The sequence below is a fragment of the Homo sapiens genome, chromosome 9 (genome assembly GCF_000001405.40).
Source record: "Homo sapiens chromosome 9, GRCh38.p14 Primary Assembly".
NCBI classification, from domain to species: Eukaryota; Metazoa; Chordata; class Mammalia; order Primates; family Hominidae; genus Homo; species Homo sapiens.
Window position 1 is genome coordinate 122,459,880 of NC_000009.12, and position 23,435 is coordinate 122,483,314.

At 39.9% G+C, this 23,435-nt stretch overlaps 2 protein-coding genes across 9 annotated transcripts in view, besides 2 other annotated features; one reads left to right on the plus strand and one right to left on the minus strand.

Moving 5' to 3' along the window:
- Window positions 1–23,435, plus strand: part of OR1J2 (olfactory receptor family 1 subfamily J member 2) — a 132,995-nt gene that overhangs the window by 12,447 nt on the left and 97,113 nt on the right. The window contains exons 1-4 of one of the 8 annotated variants that reach the window (XR_007061276.1): window positions 4,102–4,870; window positions 8,682–9,306; window positions 15,813–15,936; window positions 19,250–22,143. The gene's annotated coding sequence lies outside the window, so the exon portion shown is untranslated. Of the gene's footprint in view, window positions 1–4,101; window positions 4,871–8,681; window positions 9,307–15,198; window positions 15,937–18,399; window positions 18,864–19,249; window positions 22,144–23,435 lie in introns of those variants that run through there. The other 7 variants (XR_007061275.1, XR_007061272.1, XR_007061273.1 and 4 more) reach the window with 7 other exon arrangements.
- Window positions 3,871–4,372: an enhancer, noted in NCBI's record as "H3K4me1 hESC enhancer chr9:125226029-125226530 (GRCh37/hg19 assembly coordinates)". NCBI's record gives its function as "activates a minimal SCP1, AML or CMV promoter by ChIP-STARR-seq in naive H9 embryonic stem cells {active_cell/tissue: H9 hESC(naive)}" and the evidence as "EXISTENCE:reporter gene assay evidence [ECO:0000049][PMID:30033119]".
- Window positions 5,364–5,413: a silencer, noted in NCBI's record as "silent region_20241". NCBI's record gives its function as "represses an Ori minimal core promoter by ATAC-STARR-seq in GM12878 lymphoblastoid cells {active_cell/tissue: GM12878}" and the evidence as "EXISTENCE:reporter gene assay evidence [ECO:0000049][PMID:35858748]".
- Window positions 17,079–18,047, minus strand: OR1J1 (olfactory receptor family 1 subfamily J member 1). The gene has a single exon (NM_001004451.1). The coding sequence runs from the start codon at window positions 18,045–18,047 to the stop codon at window positions 17,079–17,081; it is 969 nt and encodes a 322-aa protein (NP_001004451.1).

Genomic DNA, 23,435 nt, shown 5'->3' on the forward strand with positions numbered 1-23,435 from the left:
TGAATTAGATTGGTGCAAAAATAATTGCGGGTTTTGCCATTAAAAGACGCTTTTAATGGCAAATAATGGTAAAACCCATACTTATTTTTGCACCAACCTAATATTATTCTTATGCCTTTGCATCCTCATAACTTAGCTCCCACTTATGAGTGACAACATACGATGTTTGGTTTTCCATTCCCAAGTTACTTCAGTTAGAATAATGATCTCCAATTCCATCCAAGTTGCTGCAAATGCCATTATTTCATTCCTTTTTATGGCTGAGCAGTATTCCATGGTATGTATATGTGTGTGTGTGTGTGTATATATATATACACACACACACACATATATACATATTATATGGGTATTTAAGTCCTCGATGTATATATGTGTTCACGTCCTTGATTCATCTTGAGTTGATTTTTGTATAAGGTGAGAGATGAGGATCTAGCTTCATTTTTCTACATGTGGCTTGCCAATGATCCCAGCATGATTTGTTGAATAGGGTGTCCTTTCCTCACTTTATGTTTTTGTTTCCTTTGTGAAAGATTGGTTGACTGTAAATATTTGGCTTTATTTCTGGGTTCTCTATTGTTTCCTTGGTCTATATGCCTGTTTTTATACCAGTACCATACTGTTTTGGTGACTATGGCCTTATAGTATAGTTTGAAGTCAGGTAATGTAATGCCTCCAGATTTGTTCTTTTTGCTTAGCTTTGCTTTGGCTATGTGTGCTCTTTTTTTGGTTCCATATGAATTTTAGGATTGTTTTATTTAGTTCTGTAAAGAATGATGGTGTTATTTTAATGGAAATTGCATTGAATTTGTAGATTGCTTTGGGCGGTATGGTCATTTTCACAATATTGATTCTCATGAACATGGGATGTGTTTCCATTTATTTGTGCCATCTATGATTTCTTTCAGCAGGGTTTTGTAGTTTTCATTGTAGAGGTCTTTCACGTCCTTGCTTAGGTATATTCCTAAGTATTTTATTAATTTGTTTATTTTGCAGCTATTGTAAAAGAGGTTGAGTTCTTGATTTGATTCTCAGCTGGTCCCTCTTGGTGTATAACAGGGCTACTGATTTATGTACATTAATTTTCCATCCTGAAACTTTGCTAAATTTATTTACCAGTTCTAGGAGCTTTTTTGATGGGTCTTTAGGGTTTTCTAGGTATACAATCATATCATCAGCAAACAGTGATAGTTTGACTTCCTCTTTACTGATTTGGATGCCCTTTATTTCTTTCTCTTGTCTGATTGCTCTGGCTAGGACTTCCAGTACTATGTTGAATAGAAGTGGTGAAAGTGGGCATCCTTGTTTTGTTCCAGTTCTCAGGTGGAATGCTTTCAGCTTTGCCCCATTCCGTGTAATGTTGGTTGTGGGTTTGTCTTAGATGACTTTTATTACCTTAAGGTATGTCCCTTGTGTTTTGATTTTGCTGAGGTTTTAATCATAAAGGGATACTAGATTTTTGTCAAATGCTTTTTGTACATCTATTGAGATAATCATGTTATTATCCTATCTTTTGTATTTTTTTTTGTTTCAATTTCATTTAGTTCTGCTCTGATCTTGGTTATTTCTTTTCTTCTGCTGGGTTTGGGTTTGGATTGTTATTGTTTCTCCAGTTACATGAGGTGTGACCTTAGATTGCCTATTTGTGCTCTTTTAGACTTTCTGATGTAGGCATTTAATGCTATAAACGCTCCTTTTGTCACTGCTTTGCTGTTTCCCTGAGGGTTTGATAGATTTTGTCATATTATCATTTAGTTCAAAGAATTTTTAAATTTCCACCTTGATTTCATTGTTGACCCAATGATCATTCAGGAGTGGGTTATTTAATTACCATGTATTTGCATGGTTTTGAGGATTTCTTTTGGAGTTGATTTCCAATTTTATTCCACTGTGGTTTGAGAGAGTACTTGTTATAATTTCAGTTTTCTTAAATCTACTGAGACTTGTTTTGTGGTCTATCATATGGTCTTTCTTGGAGAATGTTCCATATGCTGATGAATAGAATATATATTCTGCAGTTATTGGGTAGAATGTTCTGTAAATATGTGTTAAGTCCATTTGTTCTAGGGTATAGTTTAAGTCCATTGTTTTTTTGCTAACTTTCTGTCTTGATGACCTGTCTAGTGCTGCCAGTAGAGTGTTAAATTCCCCCACTATTACTGTGTTGCCATCTATCTAATTCCTTAGGTCTAGTAGTAATTGTTTTATACATTTGGGAGCTCTAGTGTTAGGTGCATATATATGTGGAATTGTCATATTTCCTGTTGGATTAGTCCTTTTATCATTATATAATGTCCTTCTTTGCCTTTTTAACTGTTGTTGCTTTAAAGTTTGTTTTATTTGACATAAAAATAACTACTCTTGCTTGCTTTTGGTGTCCATTTGCATGGAATAGCTTTTTCCATCCCTTGACCTTAAGTGTATGTGAGTCCTTATGTGACGGATGAGTCTCTTGAAGACAGAAGATACTTGGCTGGTGAATTCCTATCCGTTCTGCCATTCTGTATCTTTTAAGTGGAACATTTAGACTATTTACATTCAACATTAGTATTGAGATGTGAGATGCTATTCTATTCATCATTCTATTTGTTGCATGAAATCCTTGTTTTTGTTTTTCATTGTTTTGTTGTTTAATAGGTCCTGTGAGATTTATGCTTTAAGGAGATTCTATTCTGGTGTATTTTTATAATTTGTTTTAAGATTTGAGCTACTTTTAGTAGTTCTTGTAGTGTTGGCTTGGTAGTGGTGAATTCTCTTAGCATTTGTTTGTTTGAAAAAGACTGTATTTTTCCTTCATTTATGAATCTTAGTTTCACTGGATACAAAATTCTTGGCTGATAATTGTTTTGTTTATGGAGGCTAAAAATAGGACCCCAAACTCTTCTAGCTTGTAGGGTTTCTTCTGAGAAATCTGCTCTGTTTGTCTGATAGGTTTTCCTTTATAGATTACATGATGCTTTTGCCTCGCAGCTCTTAAGATTCTTTCCTTCATCTTGACCTTAGATAACTTCATGACTATGTACCAAGGCAATGATCTTTTTGCAATGCATTTCCCAGTGTTCTTTGAGCTTCTTGTATTTAGATGTCTAGATCTCTAGCAAAGCTGGGGAATTTTTCCTCAATTATTCTCTCAAATATATTTTCCAAACTTTTAGATTTCTCTTCTGTCTTGGGAACACCAATTATTCTTAGCTTTGGCTATTTAACATAACCCCAAACTTCTTGGAGGCTTTGTTCATTTTTTAAATTCTTTTTTCTTTGTCTTTGTAGGAGTGGGTTTATTCAAAACCCTTGTCTTTGAGCTCTGATTTTCTTTCTTCTACTTATTTGATTGTATTGCTGAGAATTTCCAGTGCATTTTGCATTTCTCTTAAGTGTGTCCTTCATTTTCAGAAGTTATGATTATTTTTTATTTATGCTATCTATTTCACTAGAGATTTTTCCATTCATATCCTGTATCTTTTTTTGATTTCTTTAAGTTGGACTGCATCTTTCTCTGGTGCCTCCCTGATTGGCTTAATAGCTGATCTTCTGAATTCTTTTTCTGGCACTTCAGAGATTTCACCTTGGTTTGGATCCATTGCTGGTGAGCTAGTGTGATCTTTTGGGGGTGTTAAAGAACCTTGTTTTGTCATATTGCCAGCACTGTTTTTCTGGTTCCTTCTCATTTGGGTAGACTATGTCAGAGGGAAGTTTGGAACTCAAGGGCTGCTGTTCAGATTCCTTTGTCCCACAGGGTTGCTCCCTTGATGTGGTGCTCTCTCCTTTCCCCCTGAGATAGAGCCTCCTGAGAGCCAAACTGCAGTGACTGTTGTTTCTCTTCTCAATCTAGCCACCCAGTGAAGCTACTGGGCTCTGGGCTGGTATAGGGGAGTGTCTGCAGAATCCTGTGATGTGATCCCTCTTCAGGTCTCTCCGCCACAGATAACCAGCACCTGCTCCAATGGAGGTAGCAGGGGAGTGAAGTGGACTCTGTGAGGGTCCTTGGTTGTATTTTTGTTAAGTGTGCTGGTTTTGTGTGGACCTCCAGCCAGGAGGTGGCGCTTTCAAGAGCACATGAGCTACATTAGCACATCAGCACATCAGTATAGGGAAGATTAGGCAGGGGGTGGGGCCATAGGGCTCTCAAGGGATTATGTCCTTTGTCTTTGGCTACCAGGTCAGCTAGAGAAAGACCATCAGGTAGGGGCAGGGTTAGGCATGTCTGAGCTCAGGCTCGCCTTTGGTGAGGCTTGCTGTGGCTGCTGTGGGGGCTGGGAGTGTGGTTCCCAGGCCAATGGAGTTATGTTCCCAGGGGAATTATGGTTGCTTCTGCTGTGTCACACAGGTCACTAGGGAAGTGGGGGAAAGCCGGCAGTCACAGGTCTCACCCAGATCCCATGCAGCCCACAGCCTGAAAGGCTGGTCTCACTCCCAAGGTGCTCCCCCGCCCCCACCGCCCGCCAGCAGCAGCGAGTTTATTTCTAGGTAGCCGGTGAGCAGGGCTGAGAATGTTCTGCAGGCTCCAAGCCTCTCAGCTGAGAAAGCAAGCAAACTCACAGTTCCTCAGTTGTCCCACAGAGCCTGCAGCAGCAATCCACCTCCCTCAAAGGGTCTGTGGATTCTTTCAGCTTTCCTGGTATGTTCTTGTGGCAGTTCTTAGAGCAAAAGTTCATGGTGTGTGTCTACACATGCCACTCTGTCCGACCTAGTGGGGGCTGCAAGTTAGTTTTGCCTCCTATCCGCCATTTTCCCTCTATTGGAAGTACACTTGAAGTGAGAGTACCTTTGGAAAAGATTGGTGACTCTTGGAACTGGGTGAGGAACTGGGTAGGTAACCACAATTGAGCCCTTGGCAATCTAAGCTTCCATGGATCATCTTTCTTCTGCCCAGGTAAATCATCTCTCAGATTGCGTTCCCTCCCTTTGGTAGCAGCTCCCTATTGACTTATTCAGGATCTGATTGGGTTAAGATGCCTTGCATCCTTTTTGGGACTATATAAGACTTTTTGTCTTTTTTGGAAAGTTATTTCTTTTAGAAAGACAGTTTGTCTTTCTGGTCCTGGTAAGTGCACTTTTGGTTTCAGTTTTGTTCTGACTTGTTTGTGTATGCTTATACTTTCATTTGCTGCTTGATTCTTTTCTTCCTCTATTTCTAAACATCTTTTGAAAGAAAAATTTACTTTCTCAAAAGGTAGGCACGAGTTGGCCGTTTAAAAGCCATTAGGGCAATTGCCACCATTCTATGAGGGATGTCAGTATCCGAAGAAAAAAAATCTCTTGTCAGGATAAACTAGTGCACAAACAGCCAAATTACCACTAGGGGGCCTGCCAGTCTCAAGAAAAATTTTGCGCGTCTGGGGAAAACTTGCTCATGGGACAGGCAATGAGAGTGCAGATTGCTTGCCAAGTAAAACAAAAATCCGGTGCCAGGCACACTGTAAAACAAAACACCAGTCCAAACGCCTATCATTCCCTGACAGGGCTCTGCTCTTCGGGCTTTTCTTTTGCTCTCAAGAGATTAATAAGCAGAATGGGATCCCAAAATCCTAAAGCACGTAATTATAATCCTCCTGGGACCCCTGCAGGCTCTATGTTTTAAAAATTATGGTCCTTTGTCTTGTGTACAATTTTAAATCAATAGCTATAGCACACCCAAACTAATTTGGATCCTCAATGGTCATACTGGGGGGCATTTGAGCTCCCCAAACTTGTTTTGTTAGAACAAAATTAGAAGACTGTGGTCCTAATATTAAGCAATCTGAATGGGAAACATACTTTAATTGGTATCTCAAAGCTTCTAAGTACATTCAGGATTCTACAATTGCCTCCTTATGAGATACCATGTCAAAATTAACTGAGACAAACAAATAGTTAAGGAAGGACAAGGCTTGAGGATCCCAGACTTGTTCCTCGTTGGAGGAGACCTCCTCTTCTCTTTCCCCTGTTCCTTCTCTCTATTTCTTCTTTGAGTGAATTACCTTTCCCTCTGGATTCCTCAGCTCCCACTACCCCTGAACCTGGTCCTGTTAAAACCTGTCCCTTGAAAGTTAAATTCACTGATGATTCCTCTAAATCCTAAATTTCTTTTGTTCCTTGGAGCAAGGCTGAACTTTAAGCCATTGCCGCAGAATTCCCAAAGGTCATGGAGACCTTTCAAATTTGCTGATAAAATTAACACAGTATTATAATTTCGACTTATCATCCAGGTTTTTCTTACCTGTGCCAGTTGGTTCATATACTTTTTGTGAAGGCCAGGCCCAATATTGAATGGCCCAGGCTCCTTGATGTGACCCTGAGAGGGCTTTAGGCAAGAATACCCCAAAAGACTATGACAGAGCCTGAAGCACAGTGAGCAAGCAAGCAGACAAACAAACAAAAACAACAAAACTTCATGAGGCTATTCTTGAGGCTTTTCCTGAAACCTGAGATGAATAAAATCCAAGACTGTACCCAAAACCTAATGAACCAGATTACGACTATTACAGTTGGCTCCGGGTTGTATTTGTAGAAAATTCTGGATTACCTATGGATGCCGAATCTACTCAAGTAGGCTGTAATTCTAAGTTTGCAAATGGCCTTTCTCAAGAACTTTCTCAGCTTGTCAAAAGAGTACACATGGAATGGAAAACTATGTCCACTTCTGATTTGGTTAATCTGGCAAATCACCTTGCCTGCACCCCTGAGGACAGTACTAAAAACCACTAACATTCGTAATGTTACAATTACAGCAAACTGAGGCTCCCAGACATAACACTAGGCAGAGACTCCCTGGGCTGTGCCAACGTTCCAGATGGCTGGAAGAGAGATTGCTGCAAGAGAAAGGGGGAATTTCATTCCCAACTCCCCCATCTCTTCTCCCATCTGAGACCACTTTCAGTGAAGGGGCTCCAAGGACTTATGGGGGATTTTCCCACTTCTCCCACTTAATTTTCTGAGTGAAATGATCCTTCAAATTAGGAGTGTTTTTTTTTTGGCGGGGGACAGAGTTTCTCTCTTATCTCCCAGGCTGGAGTGCAGTGGTGCGATCTCGGCACACAGCAACCTCTGCCTCCTGGGTTCAAGCGATTCTCCTGGCTCAGCCTCCTGAGTAGCTGGGATTACAGGTGCCCACGACCATGCCCAGCTAATTTTTTTGTATTTTTAGTAGAGACGGGGTTTCACCTTGTTGGGCTTCAAACAACTGGTCTCGAACTCCAGACCTCATAAGCCACCTGCCTTGGCCTCCCAAAGTGCTGGGATTACAGGCATGAGCCACCACATCCGGCTGGGAGTGTGGTCTTAACTGTGCTCATTGATGCCACAGCAATATTTTTCATCCTTAATCCCCCTAGCCTCAGTCAGCCCCTGCCTCAGAGTAATAAAAAGATTACAAATGGTGAGTTTCCAAAAAGCCACTGACTACTTTTGTTTCACAGCCCATTTCTTTCCATCTTGGTCTTCTCTCCAAGACACCCACACCTTTTGCTTGTTAATTCTGCCCCGCTCCACCACCTTGGATGTGATTTTTTTGAAAAATACCATGCTAAAATTTCTTTTTCCCAAGAGGGGGAAATAATTTTAGAATTTGATAAACTAAACTGTCCTCACTCAACAGACTCCCCCAATTCTGTCATTTGTTATGTCATTCCCTGTTCAGAAAACAAAAATAATGTCACTCATTTAGTGCTGAATCAAATACCTGTCTCTTTAAAGGCAAAATCATTCACTGATATTTTCAAAATTCATAGTGTACCTCTTATTAAAATCCAGATTAACCTATTAAAACCCTTGCTTAATATTAAACAGCCACTAAACCAGATGGCACTGCAAGGTATTAAACTTATTATAAAAGAATATAAAAAACAGTCTCATTATTCTCTGTACCAGTCTTTGGAGTACCCTGATCCTACCTACTAAAAGACCAAACAACCATGGGAGGAGGTTTGTTCAGGAACTCTCTCTGAGTTATAAACCATAGTATTATTACAAAGCACCCAGTGGTTCCAAATCCCCATACTGTATTAAATCCAATACCCATTGATAGCAGATTCTTCACCATCACTGATCTGTGTATTACATTATTCATTATTCCAGGGGATCAAGCCAACCAATATCTTCTTGCCTTCACCTGGGAAGGCCAACAGTTCACCTGGACATTAATGCCTCAGGGGTTTACTGAAAGTTTTTCCTATTTTCTCAAATGTTAAAGGCAGACTTAGAGGATGTAATTTTTCTCCAAGGCTCTTGTTTACTACAATATGTAGATGACTTCCTTCTTTGCTGTCCTTCACAGGCAGCCTGTGAAAAAGACAGTGTATACCTATTAAAGCAAGTGGCTGCTTAAGGTCATAATGCCTGTAAAGAAAAACTGCAGTGAGTAAAAACTCAGGTGAAATAATAAAGCCATTTAATTTCAGAGAATGAATTACATTTAGAACCAGAACAGATTCAAGGCATTTTACAATTTCCTCAGCCCAAAAGAAATGCCAACTTTGTGAGTGGGTTTCTTGGACTCACTGGCTACTTTTGAAACTGAATTCCCAACTTTTCTTTTCTGGCCCAACTCCTATGTGCTTTACATAAATTTACCAAACCTGACCCCATTACTTGGACAAAATCATAAGGGTAAGTTTTTAAAAAGCTAAAGGAGAAATTGATAAATTCTCCAGTTCTAGGTAATTCTAATCATAAACTCTTTTTTTTTTCTCTTTGTCTGTGAAAAGGAAGAAAATACTTCAGGGATCTTAACCCAAAAGCATGGAGGTCCACACCATCCTCCAGGATACTACAGTTGACAACTGGATCCCATCTCCTGTGGATTCCCTCTCTGCCTAAGAGCAGTCCCCGCTGCATCCTTGTTAGTCAAGGCGACTGAGGAGATAGTCATGGGATTCCTCCCTGACTGTGTTTTTTCCTCATGCCATGGAAGCCGTTTTACACACTCATCACACTTGGCATTTTTCTGCTAGCGGACTAACCTCCTATGAACCTCTTCTACTTACTATTCATCATATTATTCAATCATGCTGCAATAACCTTAACCCTGTGGCTCTCTGGACCTCTCCATCAGATGAAACACCACATGGCTGCTTAACTCTGACAGACCAGCTTTTAATTCCTTGGGAGCAATTCCTGTGGACAATGCTGAGTTGTCCTGGTTTACAGATGGCTCACATTTAAAGAATGAGTCTGGCAAGTATTGTGCAGGCTGTGCAGTCGTGACTTCCTTTGAGATTGTGAAAGCAGCTCATTTACTATTAACTACTTCAGCCCAGCAGGCAGATCTGTTTGCCCTCGCTTGAGCCTGACTCCTTGCTACAGGAAAGACAATGTTTATGTAAGCAGCAGGTAAGTGATATGGCTTGGCTCTGTGTCCCCACCCAAATCTCATCTTGAATTGTAGTTCCATAATTCCCATGTGTTGTGGGAGGGACCCAGTGGTAGATAATTTGAATCATGGGGAGCAGTTTCCCCCATACCGTTCTCATGGTAGTGAGTAAGTCTCATGAGATCTGTCGTTTTATCAGGGGTTTCTACTTTTGCGTCTTCCTCATTTTCTCTTGCCACCACCATGTAAGAAGTGCCTTTCACCTCCCACTATGATTCTGAGGCCTCCCCAGTCATGGGGAACTGTAAGTGTAATTAAACTTCTTTTTCTTCCGAGTCTTGGGTATATGTTTATCAGCTGCATGAAAATGGACTAATACAGTACATTGGTACTGGAAGTGGGGCACTGCTGAAAAGATACCCGAAAATGTGGAAGCGACTTTAGAACTGGGTAACAGGCAGAAGTTAGAACAGTTTGGAGGGCTCAGAAGAAGACAGGAAAATGTGGGAAAGTTTGGAACTCCCTAGAGACTTGTTGAATGGCTTTGACAAATGTATTGTTAATGATATGGACAATGAAATCCAGGCTGAGGTGGTCTCAGATGGAGATGAGTAACTTTTTGGGAACTGGAGCAAAGTTGACTCTTGTTATGTTTTAGCAAAGAGACTGGCAGCATTTTGCCTCTGCCCTAGAGATCCGTGGAGCTTTGAATTTGAGAGAGATGATTTAGGGTACCTGGCAGAAGAAATTTGTAAGCAGCAAAGCACTCAAGAGGTGACTGGGGTGCTTCTAAAGGCATTCAGTTTTAAAAAGGAAGCAGAGCATAAAAGTTTGGAAAAATTTGCAGCCGGACAATGTCATAGGATAGAAAATCTTATTTTCTGAGGAGAAATTCAAGCTGGCTGCAGATACTTGCATAAATAATGAGGAGCTGAATGTTAATCTCCAAGACAATGGGGGAAGTGTCTCCAGGGCATGTCAGAGACCTTTGTGGCAGCCTCTGTCATAACAGACCTGGAGGTCTAGGAGGGAAAAATGGTTTTGTGGGCAGGGCCCAGGGTCCCCATGCTGTGTGCAGTATAGAGACTTGGTGCCCTGTGTCCCAGCCACTCCCACTGTAGCTGAAAGGGGCCAACATAGAGCTCAGGCCATGGCTTCAGATGGTGCAAGCTTCAAGCCTTGGCAGCTTCCATGTGGTGTTGAGCCTGTGGGTGCACAGAAGTCAAGAATTGAGGTTGGGAACCTCTGCCTAGATTTCAGATGTATGGAAATGCATGGATGCCCAGGCAGAAGTTTGCTGCAGGGGTGGGGCTCTCATGGAGAACCTTTGCTAGGGCAGGGTGCAAGGGAAATGTGGGGTTGGAACCCCCACACAGAGTCCCTACTGGGGCACTGTGGTTGAATGGCTTTGACATTGGCCTAGTGGAGCTGTGAGAAGAGGGCCACTGTTCTCCAGACCCCAGAATTGTAGAGCCACCCACAGCTTTCACCAGGTGCCTGGAAAAGCCATGGACACTCAATGCCAGCCCATGAATGCAGCGGGGAGGGAGGCTGTACCCTGCAAAGCCACAGGGGTGGAGCTGCCCAAGACTATGGGAACCCACCTCTTGCATCAGCATGACCTGGATGTGAGACCTGGAGTCAAAGGAGATCATCTTGCAGCTTTAAGATTTGACTGCCCTGCTTGATTTCAGACTTGCATGGGGCCTGTAGCCCCTTTGTTTTGGCCAATTTCCCCCATTTGGAATGGCTATATCTACCCAATACCTGTACCCCCATTGTATCTAGGAAGTAACTAGCTTGCTTTTGATTTTACAGGCTCATAGGAGGAAGGGACTTGCCTTGTCTCAGATGACACTTTGGACTTTTGGGTTAATGCTGAAAAGAGTTAAACTTTGGGGGACTGTAGGGAAGACATGATTGGTTTTGAAATGTGAGGACATGAGATTTGGAGGGGCCAGGGGTGGAATGATATGGTTTGGCTCTGTGTCCCCACCCAAATCTCAACTTGAATTGTATCTCCAATAATTCCCATGTGTTGTGAGAGGGACCCAGTGGGAAATAATTTGAATCACGGGGGCAGTTCCCCCATACTGTTCTCATGGTAGTGAATAAGTCTCATGAGATCTAATGGTTTTATAAGGGTTTTCTGTTTTTTCATCTTCCTCGTCTTCTCTTGCTGCTGCCATATAAGAAATGCCTTTTACCTCCCACTGTGATTCTGAGGCCCCCTCAGCCATGTGGAATTGTAAGTCCAATTAAGCCTCTTTTTCTTCCCAGTCTCAGGAGTGTCTTTACCAGCAGCATGAAAATGAACTAATACAGTAAGCCTTTGGAGTTGTTCATAATTTTGGTATGGTTTGGAAGTAAAGAGGTTCCTCACTTCCAATGGAGACAAAATAAAGAATGACCCTTATGCGTAAGAATTATTAGATGCTATACAGTTACCTGATGCCCTAACCATGATCAAAGTCTCTGGCCATTCAAAATTAGACACTGTGGAATCTAGAGAAAATCACTTTGCGGATAATGCAGCAAAGAATGCTGTCCTTAAAAGATCCTATTGATCAAATTTCTATCATGGCCCAGCTAGAAAATTCCCCCCAAATAATTCTGAAACAATTACTAAAGAAGCACAGAATTGGGCATCTGAGGCCAAAAAAATAAGCTGGAGAATAGTGGATGCTGATTCACTGGTAAAGATATACTTGGGTTTGGGCCAAATAAACAAACCTGTCCTGCTAGACTCCATGAAATTTCCATTGTTTACTACTGTACATAACTTAAGCCACTGGGCTACATAAAATACAATTACTTCTATAAAACAATACTGGTCAGGTACCATCAATAAAGCAGCCAAAAATACTTATTTTACCCTGCCCTACATTCCCTAAATCCAATCCTGGGAACGCAGGGTGCATAACCCTGAACATTTTAACCTCCCTAATGGGCCTTTCAAAGTTGGATTTTATCGAGCTCCCTCCTTTGCATGGATACAAATGTGTGTTAGTCTTGATCTGTATGTTCTCCCCCTGGATTGAAGCATTCCCCTGAAGATGAGCCACCACATTAACAGTAGTTAAAGTCCTTTTAGAAAAGATAATTCATACCAGGGCCATCTCTCTTGAGCTCCCAGCAACTGAGGAATTAATTTTACAGGACAAGTTATAATACAAATGTGGGCCATCTGGCCAATCTTACAGCACTTTAATTGTGCTTATCATCTCCAGCCCTCTGGACTAGTTGAAATGCACCAATAGTACTCTTAAGACCCAACTGGCAAATTTTGTAGAAACCTTATACTTGCCGTGGCCAAAAGCCCTGCCTATAGTGCTTCAGAGCTAAAAGGTCTCCCTTTGGAATACATAAGATCTCACAATTTGTAGTTATTACTGGGTACCCCATGCATTTGGCCCCAACTTCAAAGACCCAAAGTTCATAAAAGGTGAAATGCTTCAATATTATAAAGGTATAATCAAGGCTATGGATAAAAAGTATGCTCTGGTAGAACAATCTTTCCACAGTGCATTCCCAGGAGATGAAGACCTAAAACACCATAATCTGCAATCAGGAGATTTTGTCTATTTGAAAAGACATTTAAAAAAAGACTCCCTCTGACCTCATTGAGAGGCCCATTTCCAGTCCTGTTAACCAACCTTTGTGCTGCCAACCTTAAAGGAATTGATTCTTGGATATATGTATCTTATCTAAGGAAAACATCAGCTCCTGAGTGGATCTGCACTCCTGTCAACGAATTAATACTAAAAATTTCTAAGAACTGAACTTAGTTTATAAAACTAAAAATTTCTAAGATTTGAAGCAGGTGGCATCTGTTTCTCCCAAGATGTTTGGATGACTTCTATATACCCTTTCCTTATTTCTAATTCTTACTTTATCTTATCCATTTCTTTTCCCTGGAAGACGATATTCCTGTCCACATTTCCCAGTCTGTTGGTACAGGGGAAAACTTACTGATTGTTGGATCTGTCATAAAAAATCCTGACCTGTTAATGACTCTAGTTTTCTTTTAGTACAATCTGTAACAAATTTAGTACAATCTGTAACAAACATCTCAGCTCCAACCCTCTGTACAAAGTGTATCATGGGACCATCCTATAAGGTTAAGCTTTCTCATTCACCTTCTATTCCTGTCTCCTGTCTCATCTACTCAAAACAATGATCTCCTAGTAGGGCCCTAGAGACGTGCAATGGATCATCTCTCTAAAAGTATTCCTTGGGTCTCTTTACCATATGTAAGAAAACTTGTTGGGACTGATTTTAAGAGGAAGGGCCATTAGCAGTTTATAGTAATATAACTGACCCCTGGTTTAATCCTGCCAGACACAGAAAATTTACAGATGGAAGAATTCTTTGTTTTCCTATTGGATATATTTACTTTTGTGGGTGGGATATGTCAATATGGGCCTCCAGATATTTAGACACTTGGACAACAGGAGGCTAATGTGTGTTGGGATGTTTTGTTTCTCTGTTGTCAATGCATAATAGATCTGAAACTGGTCACGGGACTGTCATTGGACTAGTCCCGTCTTACTATATCAAAGGGTTAAACATGAGTTACCAGGTGGGCATGGGACTCTGGATTGCTTCCTTTGTCAGATCTTTTGTATAATGGTATGATATAGCCACTAATGAAGAAATGGTAAAAGATTTATTTGCTACCCTAGGAATTCTTGCAGACTTCACTGCAAGTATACAATAGCATTCATTGGCTTCTCTTGCCAGGGTAGTGTTGACAGAATTGCTCTTGATTATCTATTAGCCGAGCAAGATGGTATCTGTGCGATTGCTAATACTGCATGTTGTACCCAGGTTAACTCCTCCAGGTAAGTTGAAACTCAGTTACATAAACTAAAAGAACAAGTCTATCTGGCTACAAGTCTCACCCATTTCTCTGGGGTCATTTTATCTATTTAGTTGGTTGCCTTTGTTCATGGCTCAAAAGCATCATGCAAACTGGACTCGTCATATTATGGCTATTTTTGCTCTGTATTTTCCTTTTTAAACTGTATACTTGTTGTCTGTTAAATCTTTGCAGAAATACAACTCCTGACAAAATAATGTTGGCCCAGCAATTTGAGATGATAGTCAATGCCTATGGAACAGACAAAATTAAATTTAATGATGAAATCCAGATGAGATAAGCCTAAGAGCTTCTCCTTCTGGCCTCCTTCTTGCTCAAATGTGGCTAAAAGGGTCTTGAGACTGACTTCCAGCTGTTTATCACTTCCGCCTGATGTGGGATGAGATCAACTAACTACAACAGGTCTATCCCAGCACCAAAGGACAATTCAAACCTGGCTACAGGCTAGTTGATCAATGATATTTTTAGAGAAAAATCATTATCAAAAGAGGGAAATGTGAAAGTTGCAGGTATCAGGATGAAATAACTTTTGTCACACCCAGACAAAATAGGGCTGGGAAGGCATGAAGGAGAGGGGGCTCATGCTTACGTGTCTGAGATAAGAACTATTTCCAAGAAGTTTCTAAGAGCTCCAGAAGACATCTCTTTGTATCTTTCACTCATCTGCTTTGTACAGCTTGCAGGTTTCACACATATACATATGCTTCTATGGCAAGGTTTATCACTAGACATTCTTCAGGACTGCAGTAATTCAGATAACATGCTCTCAAATGGTCATTTGCACAGTAACAGCATCTCTACCAATGAACTGATGACAACTTTAGCTTTGAGCCTCTGGAGCCAGTGGACTCCGTGTCTAAGCAGCTGACACGAACCTCTTCCTTCTTGCCAATGAGAGCTTCCCTTTACCCTGCCCTCACCAGATGCACTGGTGGCTTGTCATTTTGTGCACCCTGGGTTATAATTTTCATTTCTCATTCCTGAATAAACTCAACATATTTGGACATTTCTCTAATTTTTTTTTTCCTAGGTGAATACTTGGCAGGACAACAGGCAGACAAGGAGCAGCCTGGGCTACACCCTCCTCCATCCAGCTTGGCAGGGAAGGTTGGGGCAGGGCCTCGCTAGGAGATAGGGGCTAGAGGGCGAGGCCAGGGGCAGGGTTAGGCATGGGGACAGCACCACGGTGGGGTCTTCCTGGCTCACTGTCCACTACCAGGTACTGGGATCCCCAGTTATTTTATTGCCTCACCATGAAAAGAAGTGAAAGCATTCCCTAAACATAATTTCATCATTGTCTTTATCTCTCTCCCGCCACATTTCTTCTTTTCTATTGCTCTTTCTCTCACAAAAGCAGGGGATATATATGAAACTTGCTAAGTGGTTCTATTGAAGCTTCTTCCATTAAGCTTGAGATAAGGAGAAAAACAACCCTCTCCCTGTTAGGAGGATTTGGGGTTCACTATGCAGCTTTCTCTGAAAGAAAACTTTACAAGACACTCTCTTACCTCCAGCTCTCAGCTCTTTTTAGATCCACATTAGATTGAGAGGCTCAAGTGTTACGATATTGATTATTATTATTATTTCCTATCAATATCTTCATTTTGTGTGTCACAATTCACTTTAATATCTGTTGTCTCCCAGGTCTTGGTGCCTCAGTTGAAACTTCCAATTTAACATCCTGACACACACTACTCCCTCTTCCTGTGATCATCAGAACAAGATAAAACCTTGTGTGTCTGGATAGTTCTCATCTGTTAAGATTCAGGTAAAGAAACGCCTTCTTTGGGAAGTTGTTTATATCCTCTTCCATCAGACTGAGCTAATTATTCCTCTTCAAACCCACACAGTGTTCCATGTAAACTATTATAGTCTTTGCTACACTGAGTCACTCTGGAATCAGATGCCAAGATTCAAGTCTTCCTTTCACGAACTATATGATCTTGGGGTATTCTTCCCCTTTTAGAGCCTGAGTTTTTTAAACTTACCTTTTGGAGTTTTTGTCAGAATTAAGTTAGATGATTTTAAGGTATATTAAGTTCTTAGATCAGTCCCTGAGAGAACTGAGGTGACATTTATTTTGTCACTGAACATCTGTATGTGTTTGGGGAGAAAGGAAGTGTGGGCTATATTCTGGAAGGACAAGACAGCAGTGTGTTAATTATTATGTAAGGAGTGAGAAATGTCATATGTTTTTCTTAAAATTTCTGAAAGGGCTTCAGCTTCCTGGATATCTGGTGCCTGGGCGAAAGAGGAGCCATATCTTCACAAAAGTGGAAAATTCCTAAGAAATAGAGGTGTGAAGGGCCAGACACATTTTATAACAAATTTAAAATCTGGGAAAGGTCAGCCCTGATGGCTTCCTTTTCATACCAGCCAAAGTGACATAACATGCTCAGAATATTTTCCAATTCCATTACCCAAGAAAAGAGCAAACAAAGTCCTATACAACATATCCTATTTTACTATTCCCTCAAACAGATGCAATAATAATATCAGGAAAGCATTTCAGAGTGACAGCTGTGGAAGAAAGACAAGTGAGCTATATTTTCAATAATTTGTATTTCTGTATTATTGAGGAAAAATATTACATGGGATGTTTTAAAAGAAAGGTAAATATCAGTTAGAATAATGGTTTTTTTTTACTCAATAATTTTTTTTTCTTTTTTCTTTTTTTTGACAGAGTCTTGCTCTGTCACCCAGGCTGGAGTGCAGTGGCACGATCTTGGCTCACTGCAACCTCCGCCTCCTGGGTTCAAGTGATTCTTCTGCCTCAGTCTCCCGAGTAGCTGGGACTATAGGCATGCACCACCATGCCCGGCTAATTTTTTTGTATTTTTAGTAGAGACTGGGTTTCGCCATGTTGGCCAGGCTGGTCTCGAACTCCTGATCTCAGGTGATCCGTCTGCCTCAGCCTCCCAAAGTGTTGAGATTACAGGCATGAGCCACTGCGCCTGACCTACTCAAGAGTTTTCTTAGGGCTCCCTTAATGTCTTTATTTCTCAGACTGTAAATGAATGGGTTCAACATGGGAGTGACTGCTGTGTATATCACTGAAGCAATTATGTTCTTGTCATTGGTGTTGCTGGATGGGGGAAGAAAATAGAGACCAATAATTGTCCGATAATAGATAGTCACCACTGAGAGGTGGGATCCACAAGTGGACAAGGCTTTGCATATGCCCTTGGTAGAGGGAATCTGGAGGATGGTGACCCCAATGTGACCATAAGAAACCAGGATGCACAGGAATGGAAGCATAATGGCTGTCAATGCTGCTGTAAAGATTGCTAACTGATTGAGGGAGGTGTCTGAGCAGGACAACTTGAGCAGGGCACCAAGGTCACAGAAGTAGTGAGGGATGATGTGGTCAGCACAGAAGGAAAGCTGGGCCAGGAGGAGGGTATGCAAAAGAGCACACGCACAAGCGATGACCCAGGACCCAGCCACCAGCATGACACACTGGCTCTGAGTCATGATGGTGGCATAATGTAGAGGATGACAGATGGCCACATACCTGTCATATGCCATTGAAGTGATAAGGAAACTGTCTAAGTCAGCAAAAAATATGAAAAAATATGTCTGTGAAATGCATCCCTTGTAAAAGACGGCTAGGTGCTGAGTCTGCATGTTCATCAGCATCTTAGGGACAGTGACAGATGAAAAGGAGATGTCAGTGAGGGCCAAGTGGCTAAGGAAGAAGTACATGGGGGTGTGAAGGTGAGAGTCTAGCTGGATGAGCAGCATGATGAGCAGGTTCCCCAGCACCGTGGTCAGGTACATGCCCAGGAACAGGGCGAAGAACACGGCCTGCTGCTCTGGCCGGATGGGGAGGCCCAGGAGGAGGAACTCGGACACGCTGCTCTGGTTCTCAGGGCTCATGTTTATATCAGCTGGAGGGCACTAGGGAAATTTGAAGGAAAAAAATGGTATGTCTTGGAATAAGAAATGATAACTGTGGCATAGTATAATAGAGATGTTCTTTTGACTTAGAGAATGTCTTCATATTTTCTTACATTTGCCACATATTTTGCTGCAAATGTGCTGAAAAAGAAATGAAGGTTTAGTCGATATAGCTACTTTCTTTCTGAATCTGGTCTCTGTAAATGATAGTACTAAAAGTTGTTTGCTAAATGTTTTTTAATACACTGTTCCAATAGCTGATGTATTGTAAGTGATTCAATAGCCTTCAATATATGAGCTGGGTGGTACTGTTATTATTTCTACTCTTTAGATGTGAAAGCTAAGGCAGACAGTCTTATAGTCACAGCAATAGGAAGAGGAGAAGCTGGGATTTGGACCGAAGTATCTTGACTCCATAGTTTCTTCTGTGGAAACAAAGCAATTATTTGACATTGGAAATCTCATTGCCTTATTTTGTGTGCAATGACCTATTTAATTCTGTATACCCTGCTTGTCTACACAGTGCATGATTATTTCTAATTTATTCATTGTTTATAGACCCCTAATCTTTTTTTAAGACATAACACTTTATTTATTAAAAAACTCTTCCATGTAAACAATTACTCCAAAAGACAACAAAACAAGTTATTTTGAGTGATTTTTCAAAGGACATACCCACATATTTTATCATGATATATATGTACTATTCTAGAAGGTGGGGAGGGTGGTACTGTTGAAAGTCCAGGTAAATAAATCATAATACGAAGTAAGCAACAAGATAGAAAATCTTTCTTATGGTTTCAGATCCATACATAATTGCTCTGATCTTTTTTTGTTTGTTTGTTTGTTTGAGACAGAGTCTCGCTCTGTTGCCAAGGCTGGAGTGCAGTGGTGAGATCTCGGCACACTGTAACCTCCGCCTCCTGGGTTCAAGCGATTCTTCCAGCTAATTTTTTATTTTTAGTAGAGACGGAGTTTCACCATGTTGGTCAGGCTGGTCTCGAACTCCTGACCTCATGATCCACCCGCCTCAGCCTCCCAGAGTGCTGGGGTTACAGGTGTGAGCCACTGCACCCAGCCTAATTGCTCTGATCTTTTTAAAGTTTAAGATAAGTGTAAGATATTTAATTCTATGTTTGAATATCAATGTGTAGCGCGAAAACATATATATATTCCTCCAGGCTCAACCACACATGTGACAATGTCTCTTGGGGACGCAGCGGTGAATTCCTCTCACAGTATGTCTAAGGAGCATTGGCTCAGTGAGATTTCACATTCAGTGGATTTCAGCCATCTCATCAATTTCTCCATGCTACTGAAATCTCATTGTTCCACTCAGAATTTGTCTTTTCCCCAGGATGGCTTTCAAAGCATTTTACTGACTGTGTCAAGCCAGAGTAAGTAAAATGCTGATGAGTTTGGATTTCCTCCTCCAGTCTCTCGGCCTTTGTGTTTTATTGTTTTGTATCTCATTTCTATATGACATCAGATGCTGTATTAGAAATTCCTGCTTGATCTTGAAATATATCAAAGGTACTGACTGATGAGGCATTAAACACAACTTAAATTCAGTCTTTAATCACTACCACTTTTAAAACATTTAATAGTGTAATTACGAAAAATTCATAAAGACTTGGAAACTTCACATCATAATAAATTCAGATATTAGCGAGGCTGTCAGATGCTGTTACTCTATTCTAAATACCAGTACCAGAAGGACGAGACAATTTCTCAACATATTTGGAAATAATACTTCAGGTTAAGATATGAGCTGGATGTCTTATTTTGGTCTATTCTTTTTCATGTTTCCATGTTCCTTTCTCTTTTTCTTGAAAGATTAGACCTAGAATCTATCATAACCAACTAATGCATACTCTATATAAATTTGTTGATCAAATAAAATGTTAGAGCTATTTAAATTTATCATAACAGCTTTATTAAAAAACTTTTACTGGGCTTAGTTCAAGAACCAGCTTTGCTCTAACAATCCTGGGGCCCCATGTTATTTAGTTGCCACATGGCCTCACATTCAAAGAAATACAATCTAAAAGCTAAAAGTAATTTTAACAGGAATTCTGTTCTTTCAGCATCTCTGAAATAGCTTATAAGCGATTTATTTTTCAACTCACATCAATATTTATCAAAGTACTCTTTTTTTTAATAAAAAGAGAGGGCAGGGATTCACTATAACATATCACAGCTTGTTACAAATAATAAATATTTGCAAGTGATTAAAACAAATAAATATTTGCAAGGATAAACCAATAAAATAATGAAGAAAAATATAGAGCTTAGAAATAGACATGTTTATAATGAGGACCATGAGATTGACAAAAGTGCATTATAAATCAGTGATAAAGTAGTAAAAAGGAAGAACTGTTCATTAAGTGGTGCTGAGGAAGTTGGCTATCAATAAAGGAAAAATAATACTATATCCCTACCTCACATCATTAGAAAACTTTATAGATTATGTTTATGGCCTTAGGTTAAAACATATTTCTTTCTAACTTGTATTTTATGTTCAAGGGTATAAGTGCAGGTTTGTTACGTAGGTAAACTTGTGTCATGGGGGTTTGTTGTACAGATTATTTCATCACCCAGGTATTTCTTTTTTTTTTTTGGCTGTTGAATCCTTTTGAAGGATCTAAAAACAAATTTTATTAGAAAGAAAATGTATTTGCTTCTTTTTTTTATTATTATACTTTAAGTTCTAGGGTACATGTGCACAACATGCAGGTTTGTTACATATGTATACATCATCACCCAGGTATTAAGCTTAGTACCCATTCGTTATTTTTCCTGATCTCTCCCTCCTCCCACCATCCACCCTCTATTTTTTATTTTATTTTATTTTTTATTTTTTGTTGAGATGGAGTCTTGCTCTGTCACCAGGCTGGAGTGCAGTGGCACAATCCCGGCTCACTGCAACCTCTGCCTCCCGGGTTCAAGTGATTCTCCTGCCTCAGCCTCCCGAGTAGCTGGGATTACAGGTGTGCACCACTACGCCCAGCTAATTTTTGTACTTTTTAATAGAGACGGGGTTTCACCATGTTGGCCAGGATGGTCTTGATCTCTTGACCTTGTGATCTGCCCGCCTCGGCCTCCCAAAATGCTGGGATTACAGGCGTGAGCCACTGCGCCCGGCCCCATCCACCCTCTAAAAGGCCCTAGTGTGAGTTATTCCCCTCTATGTGTCCATGTGTTCTCATCATTTAGCTCCCACTTACAAGTGAGAACATGCAGTATTTGGTTTTCTTTTCCTGTGTTAGTTTGCTAAGCATAATGGACTTTGGCTTCATCCATGTCCCTGCAAAGGACATGATCTCATTCGTTTTTCATGGTAAAGCGCATTTCTTAATCAAGATCCCCAAAGCACACAGGATAAATGAATCTTCCTTTAAGTTTGATAACATTAAAATGAAGTTTCATTACGACAGCAACCACCAACACCACAAAGCCACAGATGGGAGAATATATACTGCCACAAATCAACAAAACACTAGTATTCCGGACACATAGAGAACTCCTATAAATCAATAAAGAAAAGACAAAAGCTCAATAAGGAAAAGACAAGCTCAATTAAAATATGGCAAAAAATACAAACTAGAAACTCACAGAAAATGAAGTCCGAATGGCCAATAAACATATTAAGCATGTGAGGGGTCCACTTTCAAAGTGATAAAGTAAATAAAAGTTAAAACAATGGTAAGATAGCACTGATGAAATTTTAAAAATATACATGAAGACACCATGAATTGGCAAGTATACGAAGAAAAGGAACTCTGATACATTGCTATAAGATGGTTAAATTGGGAAGGATAGTCTCTTCAATAAATGGTGATGGAAAAACTGGATATGCACATGCAGAACAATGAAGCTAGACCCCTATCCTTTATCATATATAAAAATAAACTGTAAGAGGATTAAGGACTTAAATATAAGATCCAAAACAGTAAAACTATTAGAAGAAAACATAGGGGAAATGCTTCATGACATTAATTTAGACAAGGATTTTTTTGACAAGAGCTCAAAAGCACAGGTAACAAAAGCAAAAATAGACAAATAAGATTATATCAAACTAAAAAGCTTCTGCACAGGAAAAGAAACAACCAACTGAGTGAAAAGACAACCTACAGAATGAAAGAAAATATTTTCGAACTGTGTGTCTGACAAGGGGTTAATATCCAGAATATATAAGGAACTGAAACAACCCAATAGCAAAAACAAACAAACAAAAACAATAAATTTTAAAATGTGCAAAATACCTGAATACGTATTTCTCAAAAGAAGACATACAAATGGCCAATAGGTATATGGAAAACCACTTATATAACTAATTATTAAGGAAATGCAAATTAAAACCTCCATGAGCTGTGACCTCACCCCAAATAGAATGGTTATTATCAAAAAGACAAAAAAATACCAAATACTGGCCTGGATGTGGAAAAAGGGGAAGACTTATACATGGTTGGTGGGAATATAAATTATATAGTCATTTTGTAAAACACTATGGAGATTTCTCAAAAAATTAAATAGAACTACCATATGATCCAGCAATCTCACTACTGAGTATATATTCAAAGGAAATACAGTCAGTAACTTGGAGAGATATCTGCATGTTTATTGCAGCACTATTCACAATAGCCAAGATGTAGAATCAACATAAATGTCCATCAGTGGATAAATGGATAAAGAAAATGTATATATACACAATGGAATACTATTAAGCCATAAAAAGGAATATAATCCTGTCAGTGTGGCAACATGGATGAACCTGGAGGACATTACGTTAAGTGAAATAAGTTCTGGCACAGAAAAACAACTACTGCATGATCTCACTCATATGTGGAATCTAAATAAGTTGATCTCAAAAAAGCAGAGAGTAGAATAGTGGTTACCAGAGCCTGGGAGGGTGAGCAGGATGAGAGATGGGAAGAAATTGGTCAACAGCTACAAAGTTACAGTTAGATAAGAGAAATAAGTTGTCATGCTCTATTGTACAGTAGGGTAAATATTGTTAACAACATTGTATATTTCAAAAGAGCTAGAAGAGAGGATTTTGAATGTTTTCTTCACTAAGAAATGATAAATGAATGAGGTGATGGATATACAACTTATTATACAATGTATATATGTATCAAAACATCACACTGTACCCCATAAGTATATACAATTATTGTGTCAATTAAGCATAAATAAAAAGGTTCATCGATTTAAATCGTTCATCTATTTGAACAGTTTAAATTGGCTTATCTGTTAAATATTTCTCATAAAATTGAAGATTTACTTCTCTTGATGTATTTCTCCATAGATGCTGTAAAAAATTGCTCACAATTCTCCAGAAGGAAAAAGGCCACATTATTATTT